Source organism: Homo sapiens, chromosome 16, assembly GCF_000001405.40.
Source record: "Homo sapiens chromosome 16, GRCh38.p14 Primary Assembly".
Classification (NCBI taxonomy): Eukaryota; Metazoa; Chordata; class Mammalia; order Primates; family Hominidae; genus Homo; species Homo sapiens.
The window spans coordinates 53,875,319-53,892,742 of record NC_000016.10 but is presented as its reverse complement, the minus strand read 5'-3'; the positions used below and the strand labels follow the sequence as shown (position 1 = coordinate 53,892,742).

At 40.0% G+C, this 17,424-nt stretch overlaps 1 protein-coding gene across 24 annotated transcripts in view, besides 1 other annotated feature; it reads right to left on the bottom strand.

Annotated features, from left to right (window-relative positions):
- The window catches only part of FTO (FTO alpha-ketoglutarate dependent dioxygenase), a 417,979-nt gene that overhangs the window by 229,199 nt on the left and 171,356 nt on the right, over positions 1-17,424 (bottom strand). For 21 of the 24 annotated variants that reach the window (XM_047434606.1, XM_011523314.4, XM_011523316.4 and 18 more), the window contains 2 exons: positions 12,756-12,899; positions 3,792-3,911 (listed from right to left, as the gene is read on the bottom strand). The exons of 1 other annotated variant lie outside the window; for it this stretch is intronic. In XM_047434606.1, the coding sequence (XP_047290562.1) occupies positions 3,792-3,911; positions 12,756-12,899 (264 nt within the window). The remainder of the gene's footprint in view (positions 1-3,791; positions 3,912-12,755; positions 12,900-17,424) is intronic. 2 more of the 24 variants (NM_001363898.2, NM_001363900.2) reach the window with 1 other exon arrangement.
- Positions 10,972-11,266: an enhancer, noted in NCBI's record as "tiled region #10092; HepG2 Activating DNase matched - State 5:Enh, and K562 Activating non-DNase unmatched - State 11:FaireW". NCBI's record gives its function as "activates a minimal TATA promoter and a strong SV40 promoter by Sharpr-MPRA in HepG2 and K562 cells {active_cell/tissue: HepG2 | K562}" and the evidence as "EXISTENCE:reporter gene assay evidence [ECO:0000049][PMID:27701403]".

Here is a 17,424-nt window from a genome sequence, read left to right as displayed (position 1 = left end):
ACTCATAAGCAAAAGGGGAAAAGTAATGCACATATTCCCTGAGGTTTTTTATTTTCTCAGCAAAAGAGATCGATGTTATTTTGCAGAACAGACAAAATGCATTGATTTAAAGAAATCCTTCCACAACACGCACGATTTTACAATTCAAAAAAAAGTATAAAGATAAAAAAGAATCATTTGTCTAAAATGATAATAATTTTGAGTAAGATAGTCCCTGGAAGCAAAGTGAGGACACTCAGAAATTCCATTTGGATTAGTCTAATGCTATAGAATCCAAATGTGCACCAAACACTGTACTTTTTATGTTAAATTGCTGTTGAATTTGTTAACCCACAACTGATATCCTGTGCTATGGAATCTTGGAGATTACAGCTAACTTGAAGCAACAGGGATAATTCTTGACAGTTAATGGTATTTTTGTATGCGTTTTCCTGAAAGGCTAACATCTTGGGGCCTCAATCTGGTAGCTCAACATTGCCCCCTACTGCTTGCAACTGAGAAAATATGAGGTGGGCTGGTACCAAGTAGAAATCTAACCAGCCACTGCCAATTCCACCCGAGTATACAAATACCAGATGGTACTAAACGAACAGAACCACAGAACCGTAGATTCATCCAACAATTATTCTGTTCTGTCTTGTCCAATAGAAAAAAGAAATCACTATGAATTTGTAAAAAGTCACTGTAAAAGGCTTGAAGCAATGCTTACATTTAATTTGGAAGAAACATCCCTTTTATCTGGACCTAAATCTTCACTCTGCTGATAAAGATCATCCCAAGACACGCTGAGGAGAGACACTGAGGCCACTGATCTCCCTCAGAACACTTAGAAATGACACGCCAACTTCTGGGAAACCAGCACCAGAGAGTTCGCAGAATTGCTTTTCCTTTTAGTATTTTTTATACAAGAGCGACAAAACAAATAACAGATATTTCCTCTTAACGCATGTGCCACCACCTTCAAATTATTTATACACAAATTTACATAGATATAACTAAATTCCTTAAATGAATTCATAATGAATATCACTTGTAAGCTCACAATACCAAATATTTTATTTTTTATTTGTGTGTGTGTACGTGAGACAAGGTCTCACTCTGTCACCCAGGCTAGAGTGCAGTAACGCGATCACAGCTCACTGTAGCCTTGAACTCCTGGGCTCCAATGATCCTCCCACCTCAGCTTCCCAAGTAGCTCAGACCATAGACATGCACCACCACACATGGATAATTTTTTTTAATTTAGTAGAGACAAAGTCTCACTATGTTGCCCAGGCTAGTCTCAAACTCCTGGGATCAAGCAATCCTCCCAACTTGGCTTCCCAAAGTGCTGAGAAGACAGGCATTAGCCACCATGCTGGGCCAGATTTTACTTAAAAAAAATAAAAAAAAAAAAGCTCTTGAACAAAAACAATTTTTTTTTAATTTGGTTTTTAAAAAACAAAATCAAGGGCTAGGCATGGTGGTTCACGCCTGTAATCCCAACACTCTGGGAGGCTGAGGCAGGTGGATCACCTGAGGTCAGGAGTTGGAGACCAGCCTGGCCAACATGGTGAAACCCCATCTCTACTAAAAAATACCAAAATTAGCCAGGCATGGTGGCGGGCCCCTGTTATCCCAGCTACTAGGGAGGCTGAGGCAGGAGAATCACTTGAACTCGGGAGGCGGAGGTTGCAGTGAGCTGAGATCGCGCCATCGCACTCCAGCCTGGGCAACAGAGCAAGACTCCGTCTCAAAAAAAAAAAAAAATCAATAAGAGCTCCTTTCTTATTTGCTCTTCAACTCTAATTCACAGAGTTGTCAAATTACAACTTCAAAGTCAAGCTGATGTCTTAGAGCCAAGGTTCATCAAGTTAAGAGGTTCTAACTCATATGTAAATGGACAAAATCAGAATTACACAGTAGGGGGAAAAAATGTTGCCCTGAAATTGAAGCTGCCTTTATATAAGCAGCCCATAAAAATGGAGAGTACTCATAACAGGCTTAGTTTAGGAACAGAACTGACTAAGGAGATTTAGGCACAGACTTTTCATTAACTCCAATTCAGTTTCACAATGCTCAGTTTTGCATCGATTCAGGTCTTTGGAGAAATCAATTTTTGTGATACTATTAATACATTAAAAGGATTATAACATTCCTTCCCCAGACGTATATCCATGAAAAGGTATGATTTAAAGATTTGAGATGTCTGGAAAGCAAGGACTTTTGGATTCTGATCCAGACTTTTAAACTGGGGCCTTCAAAGTTGTGACTTGACATTTTCATTATTATAAAGTAGGAATTAGGGTAGATCCTATGTTAAGTGTTCTTATCACAATAATAATAATTATAATAAATAAGACAGAAGAAAACTTTTGGAGGTGATGGATAGGTTTATGGCATAGACTGCTGTGATGGTTTCATGAAGGTACATGTATCTCTAAACTCAGGTTGTACACATTAAATACGTACAGCTTTTTGTAGGGCAATCATACCCCAATAAAATGGCTTTAAAAAAATAAAATAGGGATTAGCAATAGCTATCCATTTTTGCAGATTAGTTCATTGTTTCCAGTACATTTCAAATTCTGTGCAGAGGTACTATCTCCAGAGTTTGCAGGCTTTTACCACTTTTCTACTACATTCCAAATCCAATTGTTTGAAGGCAGAACAGTGAGGTGGTGAAGGGCAAGGACCCCAGAGGCAGCCTTCTAGAGTTCAGATTCCAGCTCCCTCACCTATTAGCTGGGTGACCTCGAGGAAGTTACACAAACCCTTTGTGTTTTGGTCTCCTCGTTAGAAAAATGGGGAATATATTACACCTATGTTGTGGGTTGTCATAAAAGTTAAAGAAGTTTTACAGAAAACACCTAGAATAATGTCTGGTACTTAATAAGTATTATGTAAGTGTTTGTTATTATTATTATTATTACTATTATTTAAATTAAGACTTAATGCAAGACCTCCATGTGGCTTCAACCTGCCTTCCAGCTACATTTCCTCCCACATCATCTGCACTACTTGCTCTGGTCACACCTGACTTCTGGCCTTGTTTTTAGTTTCTGGATTCTAATGTTCTTCCCCAGATCCCCCATCCCATCATACTCCTCAGCATCCAAGGGCCCCAAAAACCACATCTGCCATTTCACCACCATCCCAGCCGGCTCAAGTGGTCTGAATGTAATACTCCCTCCTCTGGAACTATGATTTTCTTTTAACGTTTCACATCTATTACCAGATTTCAATTTAGCTAATGTCATACCTGGTGATATTCGTGCCCCTCTCCTTGTTCAACTGTTGGGACACAGTGGTTGAGAGCATAAGCTGTGGAGCCAGCCTGCCTGAGTTTCCACCTTGCTGTGCCACTTACTCAGTGACCCTGGGGGAGGCCCTTCATTTCCCTGCCCCTCAGTTTTCACATCCACAAATTAAGGCCTGGAAAAGTTTCTATACCTCTTAGCATTGCTGTAAAAATTTTTTAAAGTTAATACTGAGAAAACAGAGTAGCACCTGATGCATATAAAAATGCAAATGAATGTTAAATATTATTTTCGAATTGTTATCCTCTTATCACCACTTCATAGTATATGTCCAGCACATGCCCTATGAGGAGAAAATACTCAATAAATGCTTATTGAACTAAACTGAGGTTGTACTGACAAAATCCTGGCTATACCCATCACCTTACCAAGAAGAATCTAACTTGATAATTAGGAATAATTAAATCTACATTTGCCTAAGCAAATGAGGCAGTGGAGGATTTGTATAACACAGCAGCCCAGAAAACACGGTCCCAGGTCTGATGGACTTACCACACCCTCCATCTTCTTCCACAGTGCTTCCAGTTGAGCCATGGGTTGACACCACCAGTCAGTGCACTTTCTGTATCGATTGCCTTGAAACCAAAACTGCCTCAGCCACTCAAACTCGACCTGTGGACCATAAAGAGAAGATGGTGGTTTTAATACCCTTGTGATAGACAAGCGAGGACAATGACTTCGTCTCTTAATTCTCCTCCAGTAACTTGATGGCCATAGGATGAGAAAAGGTGAGAAAGGTCAGCCTAACCAGTTCCCAGTGTAAGCTGGCATCTCCAGAGCATATCTGCAAAGCTAAGAAAAGAGTAGTCTTAAAACTGAGGTCTGGCCAGACGTGTTGGTTCATGCCTATAATCCTAATAGATTGGCAGGCTGAGACGTGAGGATCTCTTGAGGCCAGGAGTTTAAGCCCAGCCTGGGCAACATTGCAAGATGCTGTCTCTACAAAACAATTAAAAATAAATTGGCCAAGCTACTAATAAAACAATTAAAAATAAATTGGCCAAGCTACTAATAAATTGGCCAATTTATTTTTATTTTTAATAATAAATTGGCCAATTTATTTTTATTTTTAAAAATAAATTGGCAGTGGTGTGTGCTGGTCGTCCTGGCTGCTTGGGAGGCTGAGGCAAGAGGATTCCCTGAGCCTAGGAGTTTGAGGCTGCAGTGAGCTATAATTGTGCCACTGCATTCCAGCCTGGGCAACAGAGCAAGAGTCTCTGTGTCAAAATAAAATAAAATAAAACAATTAAAAAGCTGAAATTCTCTTACACAACCCAGCTCACGCCAGAGAGGGGTTTTCAAACACATTTATTAGTCAGATGTGAGGAAACTATAAGTCAATCAACAACAAATACTGAGATCCTAATTATAAAGCAGGCTGTACTATGTTTGATGGGAAAGGCATAAACTGAATACGTTTTTATTAAATGTCTTTATTTAAGGCTGGTATTACAAGCAAAACACCAATATATATTAGGAAATATTAATTATAAGTTTCTTAAATTACAATAAATTAAAATAACTTACCCATGGGCCAGGAGGAGCTGGTGATAATCTTAACCTATATATATAAAACTAATTATGGAGGCATACATTAAACCGACAAAGCCATTCAAATTGTCACTTGTCAACTCAGGGCAGGTGACAATAGGTTAAAAACAAGAGTAGCAATCATATTAGTACAAGCTGAATATCTCTTATCTGAAATGCTTGAGACCAAAAGTATTTCTGATTTTAGAATATTTGTGTTATATACTTATTGGCCAAGCATTTCAAATCCAAAATCTGAAATGCTCCAATAAACATTTCCTTTGAGCATCATGTTTATGCTCAAAAAGCCTTGAATATTGGAGCACCTCAGATTTCAGATTTTCAGATCAGAAATACTCAAGTAACTTGACTTTCCTTCCGATGAATCTACTATGGTAAACTTCAACTGTTTGCCACCTTGGCAGTCCTCCTATTCCAGACAAATCCCACCCATCCCTTCCCCCAAACAGCCCATGTGGTCTGAGGAGGCTCCAGCTCCAATGCCAGGGGTGGAATATGCAACCCAGGTCTAAGCCAATCAGCCCACTAGATTCTCTAGTCACAGAACTAGGATTGAGAGGAATAGGAATATGTCCCATCAGAATGAGTCTCAAGACTATCAGAAACTACAGGAAGAAGACTCTGCAGCTATTTTGCCAGCAATGGGAAGAATGGAGCCAACATAGTAGGGGTAGCTGCAAGATGAAAAGACAAAAACCACATCCTGATGACATCAACTGACCCTTGATCGAACTATTCCTGAAGCTGTTCTTACTTAAGCTAGTTCAGGTTGAACGTTTTGCCCCTTGCAACTAAAATAATCCCAACATATTTAGATGAGAGGCTGAGTTAACCTATGGAAATATATAAAATTGTTTTCTATCCATTTTCTAAGTCTTCTATCATTCATCAACTTGAAAATCAAGGTACAATGCTACCGATCTTAAATACTCTTTTTACCACTGCCCGCTAAAGAAACGTGGAGCCACCACAGCTTCAGGCTGGATTGTCTGGCTTTGCTAAGGTGATCATGTTCCATATATAGACATGGAGCTATTATAATCTTCACCTGTTACCGCAAAGAATTTTTTTGTGTGTTTATCCATATTGAACTTTCATGAGGCAAACAAAAGCAACTTGTGAAGATTTAACGATGGTGGAAATGGCTCAAATAAGTAACCTGAGAATACCAAGTTGTATGAAAAGGTTTTAGTTTACATTAACTAAATGTTTGTTTGCTATGTAGGACTGATTTCAGTTAAAGTTGTTTAAACAAAACAAAACAAAACAAAAAAGGAATGTAGACAATATTAAAACAACAGTTGCTAAAACTTATCTGTGCTATTAAAAGACAGTGGTTAACAGATGTAACCTTGAGTACTTTGAAAGAAGAATTAATACAAGTGTGGTTCAACTTCTGTGAAGATACTGGTTTAACAACATACTTACTTCAAGAAAAAAATGAGTTCTTTTTGATGGATTTCACATAAAATTTGTTCACACTATGGAAAGAGCCTGTTAGCAAAACATCAAGCCCTATGTTAGAAAGAGTTGAAAAGGTTTAAAAGATTTTCCAGTCTTTGGGCTGGTTATGCCTGTTGAAGAGGACAGAATGGATAAGGCTCGCCAACCATGGTGACTCTGGAAATAGATTATCATATGTAATTAGTTTATCCAGTCTATCAGGGTACACTAGAAACTGGATTTCAGTAAATTAAAACTTGGAAGCAAGGAGAAGGCTATATCTAGGGGCTCTGCTATTGGACAAGAGAGCAAAGAGAGAGCCCTGGCTATTTTAATAAATAATGCCTTCATCTTCCCTTGGATGCCCAACCATGTTTTGAGGCAGATAGTATCATGGTTAAAAATAAGGGCTCTGACCTATAATCCCAGCACTTTAAGAGGCCATGGCAGGAGAATCACTTGAGCCCAGGAGTTTGAAACTAGCCTGGGCAACATAGTGAGACCTCATCTCTACAAAATAAACAAATAAACAAAGTTAGATGGTTGTGGTGGCACGCGCCTGTGCTCCCAGCTACTTAGATGGCTGAGGCAGGAGGATCACTTGAGCCAGGAGGTCCAGGCTGCAGTGAGCCATGATCGCGCCACTAAACTCCAGTCTGGGCAACACAGTGAGGCCATGTCTCTAAAAGAAAAAAGGAATATGGGTTCTGGAGTCAGTTCAAAAGTGGGTACCACTACAGAATAGCTATGTCATCTGTAAGACAGAAACAATTACTGCCTACTATCTGTTAGGCACTTGCTAGATGTCAAGAATGCATACTAAACAAGACCACAAGGCTTTGGACTTCCTGTCCTCAAGCATCTCACAATCTTACCAATTTTCTGACCAGGAAAAGTTTTAATGTCCTTGTCAATTCATGCCCACCCTTTCCCACTAATGCCAGTCAGAAACGTTCAACAGCACTGAAGACCTTCTCCCAACACAATTTTATTCATGAGTTGAAGTACTGCCCATGAGATACAATCTCTGGACATCAAGTCCACTGGCATGCCTTCTATTCAACTCCATGACCTGACTTTTTCATTTCAATGTTGTGGGTAAAAACTATTACAGGATTTTAATCAAATGCCACGTTTACCAGTTTCCCCACTGCCAAGAGAAAGAAGTAGCTGACTCTCTCCTTAAACTTAATTAAGAAGGCAAAAAAAATCTCCACCTGCTTGATTCAGAGTCTGAGGTAATAAACTCTGGAAATTAGGAAGGAAAGCTACAGCATGGACACTGCACAAAACCAAAGAGTCAGAACGCAAAATACAGTGAGTCCTTATTACTTTGGGGCTAAAAAACCAAACAAACATCAATGTCTAACCATATTGACTGACTGATGAAGTGGTAACCATGACAGGAGTTGGGTCTTCCTCCCTTCTCCAGAGTTGTAGGCCGCCAAAGGATGCTCATAGCTAACACAGCAGAAATAAGAGGCAAGCCGTCAGGAGGACAAATGCTGACTTGGGGCCAAGGAACATTCCACGGGTGACACATCCCTGAAGACCTCAATAGCAGGGAAACAACCTGCAGGAGCTCTCAGGGTTCTCTCAAAGTTTTCATGATACTTACAAACCAAACTCCCTGATTTTGAACATGCACTTAATGGAAATAAGCCTAGAAGAGGAGAAAGAAATGGAATCAACCCACATATCTGGACTTCAGTCATTGGGCACTTAGGCATTGGAGAGCAAAGCTAATAAGACTTCAAAAGAATATTTCTGAGCCACTTTATCACCATATAGTTGTAAATCATATCCATCATTCCAACGGGTCAGCAAACGTCACCTACTTTTCTTCTACCAAGTTTATTTAGGCTCTTGATTTGGTCCCAAGTCAGCCATAGAGCTCCCTTATGAGATGTGTGACTGCGCCCCTTGGGATTAATGTCTCACTGTAATAACGGAAAGAAGTTACTTCACTGAGAAAGAAATTAGACCAGGAAGACATGGTAAGGCTCTGCCTACAAAGAGATACCCTATGAAGGCCCTTTTGCAGTAGTTATAAGGAAGCCACAGGTCTGATCAGAAGAAAATGAGAGCCAAACAATACCATCAAACATTCCATTCTTCTAGGGGACATTTACTAAGAGAAGAGGCTGAATTCCACATTTTACTATCTTTAAAAAGGAAAGTGGGCCATTTAATAACATGGAAGAAGATTCTGCTTATAATTAAACAAGAACCTTTCCTAAGCATCTTAAATTGGAAAAACTATCTCCCATAAGGTACTCCAAAACATATGCCCAAACTTCCGAAACTGCTTAGTTAGAAACCATCCTAGACAAGGAAAACAAACCACTTTTCAACCCACACAGACTGAGAGCTTGCAGTATGTAAAACCAAGGGCTTCATCCTGTGATTTGTCCAGAAAAGACACATGGCCTTGCAGAAAGAGGCAAGCAAGAAAGAAACTGGGAGAACTCTTACAGACACGTGGGCTTTCATTGAACAACAGGACAAAGTAGAGAGCGAGCATGCAACTGCTAAATCCCAGGCCAACTTGTATGGCAAAAGAACAATATCTGACAATGTGCCCTGACATATGGAATTAATTGTGAAAGTAAGGAGATGACCTTGAAGAATCAGAGATTGGGGGGATGGTGAAGACTGGCACACACGCTATTTAAATTCAAGATCAATCTCTCTATTCAACCCCAGGGGGCCGAGGTTTCTGATACAGTACATCTCTGCCCCACCTCCCTAACACATAATATCAAAAGCAGCCAGTCACTTTCTGAAGCAGACAAATTTGTTTTTTTTTTTTTGTTTTTTTTTTTTTGAGATAGAGTTTCGCCCTTGTTGCCCAGGCTGGAGTGCAATGGCACAATCTCGGCTCACTGCAACTTCTGCCTCCCGGGTTCAAGCGATTCTCCTGCCTCAGCCTCCCAAGTAGCTGGGATTACAGGCGCCCGCCACCACACCTGGCTAACTTTTTGTATTTTTAGTAGAAACGGGGTTTCACCATGTTGGCCAGGCTGGTCTCGAACTCCTGACCTCAGGTGATCCACCGCCTCGGCCTCCCAAAGTGCTGGGATTACACGCGTGAGCCACCGCACCCAGCCTGAAGCAGACAGACTTAGATGACGATATTCTGTTATATACACAGTGTGATTTTACAGATTTCTCCCATCCATTGATGGTAAAAAACATCACAGTCAGTCACAAGAGATGAGAAAGGATAGGGAAATACAACAGCCCATATGCATGTTAAAGAAAGCACCCATTCTGCTAGTCTGACACTGAAAATTGTGAGATTTTTTGCGAAGGAAATAACTACATTTTGAGATTAGAATTTCTATACTATAAATATGGAGAAAGACATAACTTTGCTCTAATTCAGGGAGGTCATCAGGCCCATAAATGTATTCTTTCCTGAAGTTCTGGCTATCAGCAATGTCTCCAGCAGGGACTAATAAGAGAGAAAGTAGAACACCCATCAGGCACAATGAAGGGCAGCAAGTCAGACTTGAGCTCAGCATCAAAAGTGGTTACTACTCCCCTGAAAGGCAGAATTGCTTCCCCTGTGGTTCTGGAGATTATGACAATGTTTCACAAAGTGTGGAGCAGCTCACAAGATATTAAATAACTTATAAAGGCATTGAAAAGATATTATATGTTGCCATGGGAGACGACATTATTTCTCCTTTTGCTCAAAACTCTTCAATGGGTCCCCATTTCCTGCAGAGTAAAAAGGAAAGGCCTTGTCCTTACAAGGGCCTCCAAGGACCTATACAATCTGCTGCTCCCCAGTCTCATGGAACTACCTCTATGACCTCTTCTCCTACAAGTAGCAGCCTTACTCCCTTCACTCAAACATACTGTTCCTGGACTGTTCCACGGACTCCAGGCATTCCCCCACCACACAGCCTTTGCAGTGGCTGCTCCTTATGCCCAAAATGCAATTCCCCAGATATCCACATGGCTGTTTCTCATGTCCTTCAATTCTCTGCTCAAAGGACATCTTTTCAACAGGGAGGCTCTCTAGTTCTCTCAATTTCTATCATCTTGCTCTGTTTTTTTTTTTTTTTCCTGTAGCACTTATCAACTTCTAACATACTGTATAATTTACCAGTGTGTTAAGTGTATTACTTACCATCATCTCCCTGTACTAGAATGTCTATTTTATTTACCAATATATTCTAAAGCGCCCAGAAGAGTGTCTGGCACGTGCTCAGTAATTAATTATAGAAAGGATGCATGAGAACATTTTTTAACTCCAAATTCCCCATCAATCCTTCTTATTATATCAAAAAGAAAGTCTCAGATTGGTGAATGAACTTCAGTTCTCAACCACATTTTAGTGTCTCCTTTTTTTCTTTTAATGGTTTTTTTTGAGGTATAATTTATCAGCCATAAAATTCACACATTGTAAGTGCAGAATCCAATAATTATTAGAAAATGTATAAAGCTGTGCAACCATTACCACTAATCTCCCTTCTTAACATGAAGAAAGGAAACTTGAGGCTCAGAGCCTCCTCCAGACAAGAATATCTGCTGGAATGTAATAACATTACTCTGTTTTCATTGGATCTATTTTTCTGGATACTTTTTCTTTTGGCTAATGATACTGGATTTCCACTTAAAGTAGCAATATAAAGCTCCCTTTTTAAAGAAATGTATACATGTTAAAAAAGAGTTGATTTAAAGTAAAATATTAAGTAACTAAACAATGTATGTAGTCCAAAGATAAAGCAAATATTGAGAGGGTATTAGTGGGAAAAGTAGAGTTTGCGAAACTTTGACCCATGGGATCCAGACCTGCTGGTCTCACAGACTGCAGAATTGCAACTGATTTCATCAGTGAAAAGCAAGGCAGTGACACTTGCTCCCAGGGCCTACCCTCAATTCCCAGCAGTCTTTGCTGGGAGACTATTCTTCATGAGTCTCTTGTGCTTCTGCGTGTCTTGTGAGTAAGCAATGACTGTCCTGTGTTACAGACTCTCATTGCAAGGATGTTTACATAGCAACAACCTTGACAGAGAGAGTTTCTCCCTCTAGAACAAAGGGCAGGTGTGCATATAGGCTTGGAAGATGAAGACAGTGTCTTGACCTACAGCAAAAGACAGGCATGCTTACTATCCTTTGAAAAAGACTAGGTTCCCATAGCTCATGGTTCCTCTCCTATAATGTAACTCCTCAATATGTACATGTTATCTAGCCTCCTTTGCATTGCCCTATAGAAACAGAAGCTGGGAGAATGCTATGGTCTGTATGTGTATGTCCCTCCAAAATTCTTTTTTATTTTATTTTTATTTATTTATTTATTTATTTATTTATTTTGAGACGGAGTCTCACTCTGTTGCCCAGGCTGGAGTGCAGTCACGCGATCTTGGCTCACTGCAAGCTCCGCCTCGCAGGTTCATGCCATTCTCCTGCTTCAGCCTCCCGAGTAACTGGTACTACAGGCACCCGCCACCATGCCCAGCTAATTTTTTGTATTTTTTTTTTTTTTTTTTTTTTTTTTAGTAGAGACGGGGTTTCACTGTGTTAGCCAGGATGGTCTCGATCTTTTGATCGTGATCCGCCTGCCTCAGCCTCCCAAAGTGCTGGGATTATAGGCGTGAGCCACCACACCCGGCCATGTCCCTCCAAAATTCTTATGTTGAAATCCTAACATCCGAGGCAATGGCATTAAGAGGTGGGGCTTTTCAGAGGTGAGAGATCACGAAGCTCTGCTTTCATAAAAGACTTTAGTAGCCTTATAAAAGAGACCACAGGGAGCTTGCCTGGCCCTTGCACCGTCTAAGGAAAGTGAGAGGGTGCCATCTATGAATCACGAAACAAGTCTTCAGCAGACATCAAATCTTGAACTTGATGCCATCTGATCTTGAACTTGCTACCTTCCAGAACAGTGAGGATAAATTTCTGTTGTTTAGAAGCAACTTGGTTTATGCAATTTTGTTACTGCAGCCTGAACAGAATAAGTTCGTGAACTAACACAAAAATACGGAGACTCTGGTGACTGCTATTGATATACGTAATAACCTGTCCTCCATCTGTGACCTAAGAGTCTCACGTCTTATAACAATATGAAATTGTGGCAGATTAACTTGTTAGCTTGCAAGTAGGGTAGAATCTCAGATCTTTCACAATTCTTGAAAGTCTTGCCAGGCACAGTGGCTCATGACTGTAATCCCAGCACTTCAGGAGGCTGAGGCGGGCAGATCACTTGAGGTCAGGAGTTCGAGACCAGCCTGGCCAACGTGGTGAAACCTCGTCTCTACTAAAAATATCAAAATCAGCCAGGAGTGGTGGCGCATGCACCTGTAGTCCCACCTATTCGGGAGCTTGAGACAGGAGGATCACTTGAACCTGGGAGATGGAGGTTGTAGTGAGCCGAGGTCATGCCGCTGCACTCCAGCCTGGGTGACAGAGCGAGACTCCATCTCAAAAAAAAAAAAAGAAAGTCCTTACCTCATTATGAATTTCTTCTCCTTGTTTCAAAACTGCAGGCTCAAAGGATTTCAAAGAGACATCATCATTGTCCACATCGTCACAGACATTCTGCAGAGCCAACTGACAGCGTTGTAAAATATAATCCAAGGTTCCTGTTGAGCACTGTTGAGACAGAACCAGCAATCACAATTATGGGCAAAATCTAAGTTTACTCTACCATCCTTCCTAGGATTGTTCATATTTGTCCCTGGCTGTGAATTCACCTGTTGCCCCATGGCTCAGTCTATACTCCTTTTTTTTTTTTTTTTTTTTTTAATTTTGAGATAGGGTCTTGCTGTGTCACCCAAGCTGGAGTATAGTGGTGTAATAATGTTTCACTGCAGCCTCAACCTCTGGGGCTCATGCAATCCTCCCACCTCACCTTCCTGAATAGCTGGTACCACAGGCAGGCACTACTCTGCCCAGCTAATTTTTCTAAATTTTTATTTTGTAGAGAGAGACAGGATCTTGCTATATTATCCAAGCTGGTCTCAAACTCCTGGGTTCAGGCAGTCCTCCCACTTCAGCCTCCAAAAGTGCTGGGATTACAGGTGTGAGTCACTGTGCCCGGCCTATACTCACGAACTCAAGAATTACTAGAGTGGCCTGTTCCACTGGGCTCTGTGCTGCCAGTTTGGCCTCACTTGGGCCACTTAGTTTGCTGGTTTTCTTTTACGTGGGCCTCATATCTCTAACTAAACATTTGGGTCCCGGAGGCTAACGCCCTATTTATATATGTTAAATACATTTTCTATATATACTACAACATCTAGAACTGAGTCTGAAAACTGGAAGAAATTTAATAAATAATTATTGGATGAATAACTGGTTAACCAAGAAGTCAAGGACACTGACTTTTTATCTCAAATGCCCTGAGACTAAAGATAGGAAAGAAAGGTAACCAGGCTGCAAAGCTGGTTCAAAAGCACAATAAATGGTTCTATAATGACAGCGGGGAAAAATGCAGTTATAATCACAAGGCAAAGAACTCATTTCTCTTTTCTGCAAAAAGCATACACTAGGCAGTGGCAGTCCTTGGCAGAATAGATTCTTCAAATAATGGAGAATATTTGGCTTAAGCCCTCAAGGCACATTCAAAGGCATAACTTAGTACCTGGGCCTCAGCAAGGACACAGATAACTAGTTCATCCCTCTCTGAGTCCGTGGGAGCAAAACAGAGGTCAAATGGACAAACTCCTTTTTATAAATGATCATATGTTGGAAAAGAGGCCAATGCACATGGGCAGTGCATCTGCCTGTTTTGATATTAAAATGATTTCCTAGAATAATAAAAAGTCAGCTATAAATACCCTTCAGTCCCAATGAGGAAAATGTATCCCTAAAATATTTTGGTTTTATTATTTATAATTTAAACTGAGCCCTTGTAAATAACCTTGAAGGCTAATCCTCTGATATAAAATTTCCTTGCACATTTACTGCCATTTTATACAATGCGACATCAACAAGCCTGGGAAAAACAAAGTTTCTGTGCCAAGAAACAGAAGCTTGACTAAAATGTATTTTAATATGAAGATCCCAGAGTGCTGGGTGCATAAGGGCAGGCAGCTCCAATTTCCTGCCAAAAAAAACCCCACAAAGAATAAAGGTGAATGACCACTCATTTTTGTCCCACAGCAACCTCTACAACAACACTTTTTTTTTTTGAGACGGGGTCTCACTCTCTGGCCCAGACCAGAGTACAGTGGCGTGGCATGATCTTGGCTCACCGCAACCTCTGCCTCCTAGGCTCAAGCAATTCTCCTGCCTCAGCCTCCCAAGTAGCTGGGATTAAAGATGTGCACCACCACGCCCAGCTAATTTTTGTATTTTTAGTAGAGACTGGTTTTACCATATTGGACAGGCTGGTCTCGAACTCCTGACCTCAAGTGATCCACCCCCCTCAGCCTCCCAAAGTGCTGGGATTACAGGCATGAGCCACTGCACCCAGCCTACAACATCTTTTTAAAATGACTTCTATCTAGAAAGTTTCCCTACTTGCACCTTTACTTTCCCAAGTATGGAGTGAGCTACATAGGTTATTAATTGCATTTTCATGCAAGATTAGAAACAACCTAAATTTCTTAACAATAGGAAAACTAGTTTAATGACGTATGGTTGCAGAAAACAAAAAGAGAGAGGGGTGGGATGTGGAATAATTTTTTTCTGGATGTATAGTGTTTTGTTTTATGTAAATAATCTATAATCAGGCCTAGTTTGAGATAGGTTTTTTTTTTTTGGTAACAGCTTTATTGAGCTATAATTCACGTCATAAAATTCAAGCATTTAAAGCATATAATGCAATGTTGTTTCGTATAGTCACAGAGTTATACAAATATCACTACAATTAATTTTAGAGCATTTTCATCACCCCAAAAAGAAACCCTGTGCCATTTGGCAGTCACCCCCAACCCCAACTGATTTCTACCAACATTTCCAACCCTAGGCAACCACTAATCTACTTTCTATGTCCATAGAGAGACCTATTCTAGACACTTCATATAAATGAATTATATAATATGTATCTTTTGTGACTGGTTGCTTCCATTTCGTATGTTTTCAAGAGTTATTCATGTTGTAGCATGCATCATTACTGTATTCCATTTCAATGCCCAATAATATTCAACTGTATGGATATGCCACGTTTTATTTATCCATTCATTAAGTGATGAACCTTTGGGTTGTTTCCACTTTTTGGTGATTATGAACATTCCTGTAGAAGTTTCCATCACTCTTGGGAAACTACCTAGGCATGGAATTGCTGTGTCATAGGGTACCTTTGGATTTAACCTTCTGAAGATGTGCCAGACTGTTTCCCAAAGTGGCTGCACCACTGTCCATTCCCTCTGGCAGTGCACATGGGTGCCACTTCCTGCATGTCCTCACCAACACTTGTCACTGTCTTTTTTATTCTAGCTATCCTAGTGAGTGTGAAATGTTATCCCGTCGTGGTTTTGATTTGTATTTCCCTAGTGACTAATGACGTTCAGCATTTTTCATTTGTCTATTGGCCATTTGTATACCTTCTTTTTGTGTGTGTGTGAAGACGGAGTCTTGCTCTATTGCTCAGGCTGGAGTGCAGTGGTGCAATCTTGCCTCACTGCAACCTCCACCTCCCAGGTTTAAGCGATTCTCCTGCCTCAGCCTGCTGAATAGCTGGGATTACAGGCATGTGGCACCACACCTGGCTAATTTTTGAATTTTTAGTAAAGACGGGGTTTTACCATGTTGGCCAGGCTGGTCTTGAACTCCTGGCCTCAAGTGATCCACTCACCTCGGCCTCCTAAAGTGCTGGGATTACAGGCATGAGCCACTGCACCCAGCCTGTGACATGTTAATTCGATTCCTTTGCCATTTTAAATTGGATCATTTCTCTTTTGAATTATTGAGTTCTAAGAATTCTTGGAATATTTGAGACACAAGTGCTTTATGAGATATATGATTTGCAGATATTTTCTCCCATTCCATGGGTCCTCTACACTTTCTTTATGGTACCCTTTGAAGTACAAAAGTTTTTAACTTTGATGAAGGCCAATTTATCTGTTTTTTTCTTCAGTTGTTTATGCTTTTGATGTCATATCTAAAAAGCCATTACCTACTCCTCGCTAAGTGCTATATATTGATGAGTAATTATTACCAAAGTTTACTGAAACAAAACTACAGAACCATATATATAGTAGGCTACCATTTATATTTAAAAATATTTTTGAAATTACATACATTTTTACTTATATATTAAATATCACCAAAAGAGTAACAAGAACCTTTAAACATTGGTTGCCTCTGGGAATGAGGGGCTGGTTGGCCTGAGGAGAAAGAGACTTTAACTGTATACCTTTAGGTATTTTTTTTAATTTTGAACCATTTGCATTAACTACCTATTCAAAATATAATTATTCATAAAATGTAAATTTCTTTAAAAAGACATTCTGTATTGAATCCCAAGAATATTCTGACACAATTATCAAAAACTAAAATCTAGGCCGGGAGCATTGGCTCACGCCTGTAATCCCAGCACTTTGGGAGGCCGAGGTGGGTGGATCGACTGAGGTCAGGAGTTCAAGACCAGCCTGGCCAATATGGCAAAGCCCCATCTCCATTAAAAATACAAAATTTAGCCGGGCTATCTGCTACATTCTATTCTGCACTGTACATACTCTTTAGACCATAAGCATCTTGAAGACACTGAATATAACCATTCCTGTTCACAAGTCCCTACAAGAATACCTTGAACACTATAAAGTTCAATAAAAGTTTGAAGAGAGAACAAACTGAAATCCCTTCTGAATAGTAGTTCCTACAATCAAAACTTGCTGATGATTTAATCTCTCTTGCTTTATTATGTACACTGTAGTGTACAAATGAAGACAGAATAACCTTCCACACAGTGAACTTTAGTTGTTCCCATCTCCTATTAGTTTTTCAACAGAATAAAATGAAAAGACAGTAGTAGCAGTAGAAGTAATTTAATAATAGTAGTGGCAAACTTCTTTGAATGTATACCAGTCACTGTTCTAAAAAGACTTACATGTATTAACTAATTTAATCCTCATAAGAACACTACGATTAGGTACGATTCTTATCCCCATGAACATATTTCCCAAGCTTTTTATTTATCATTTTGTACAGCCCTTTGAACCCAGCACTAATG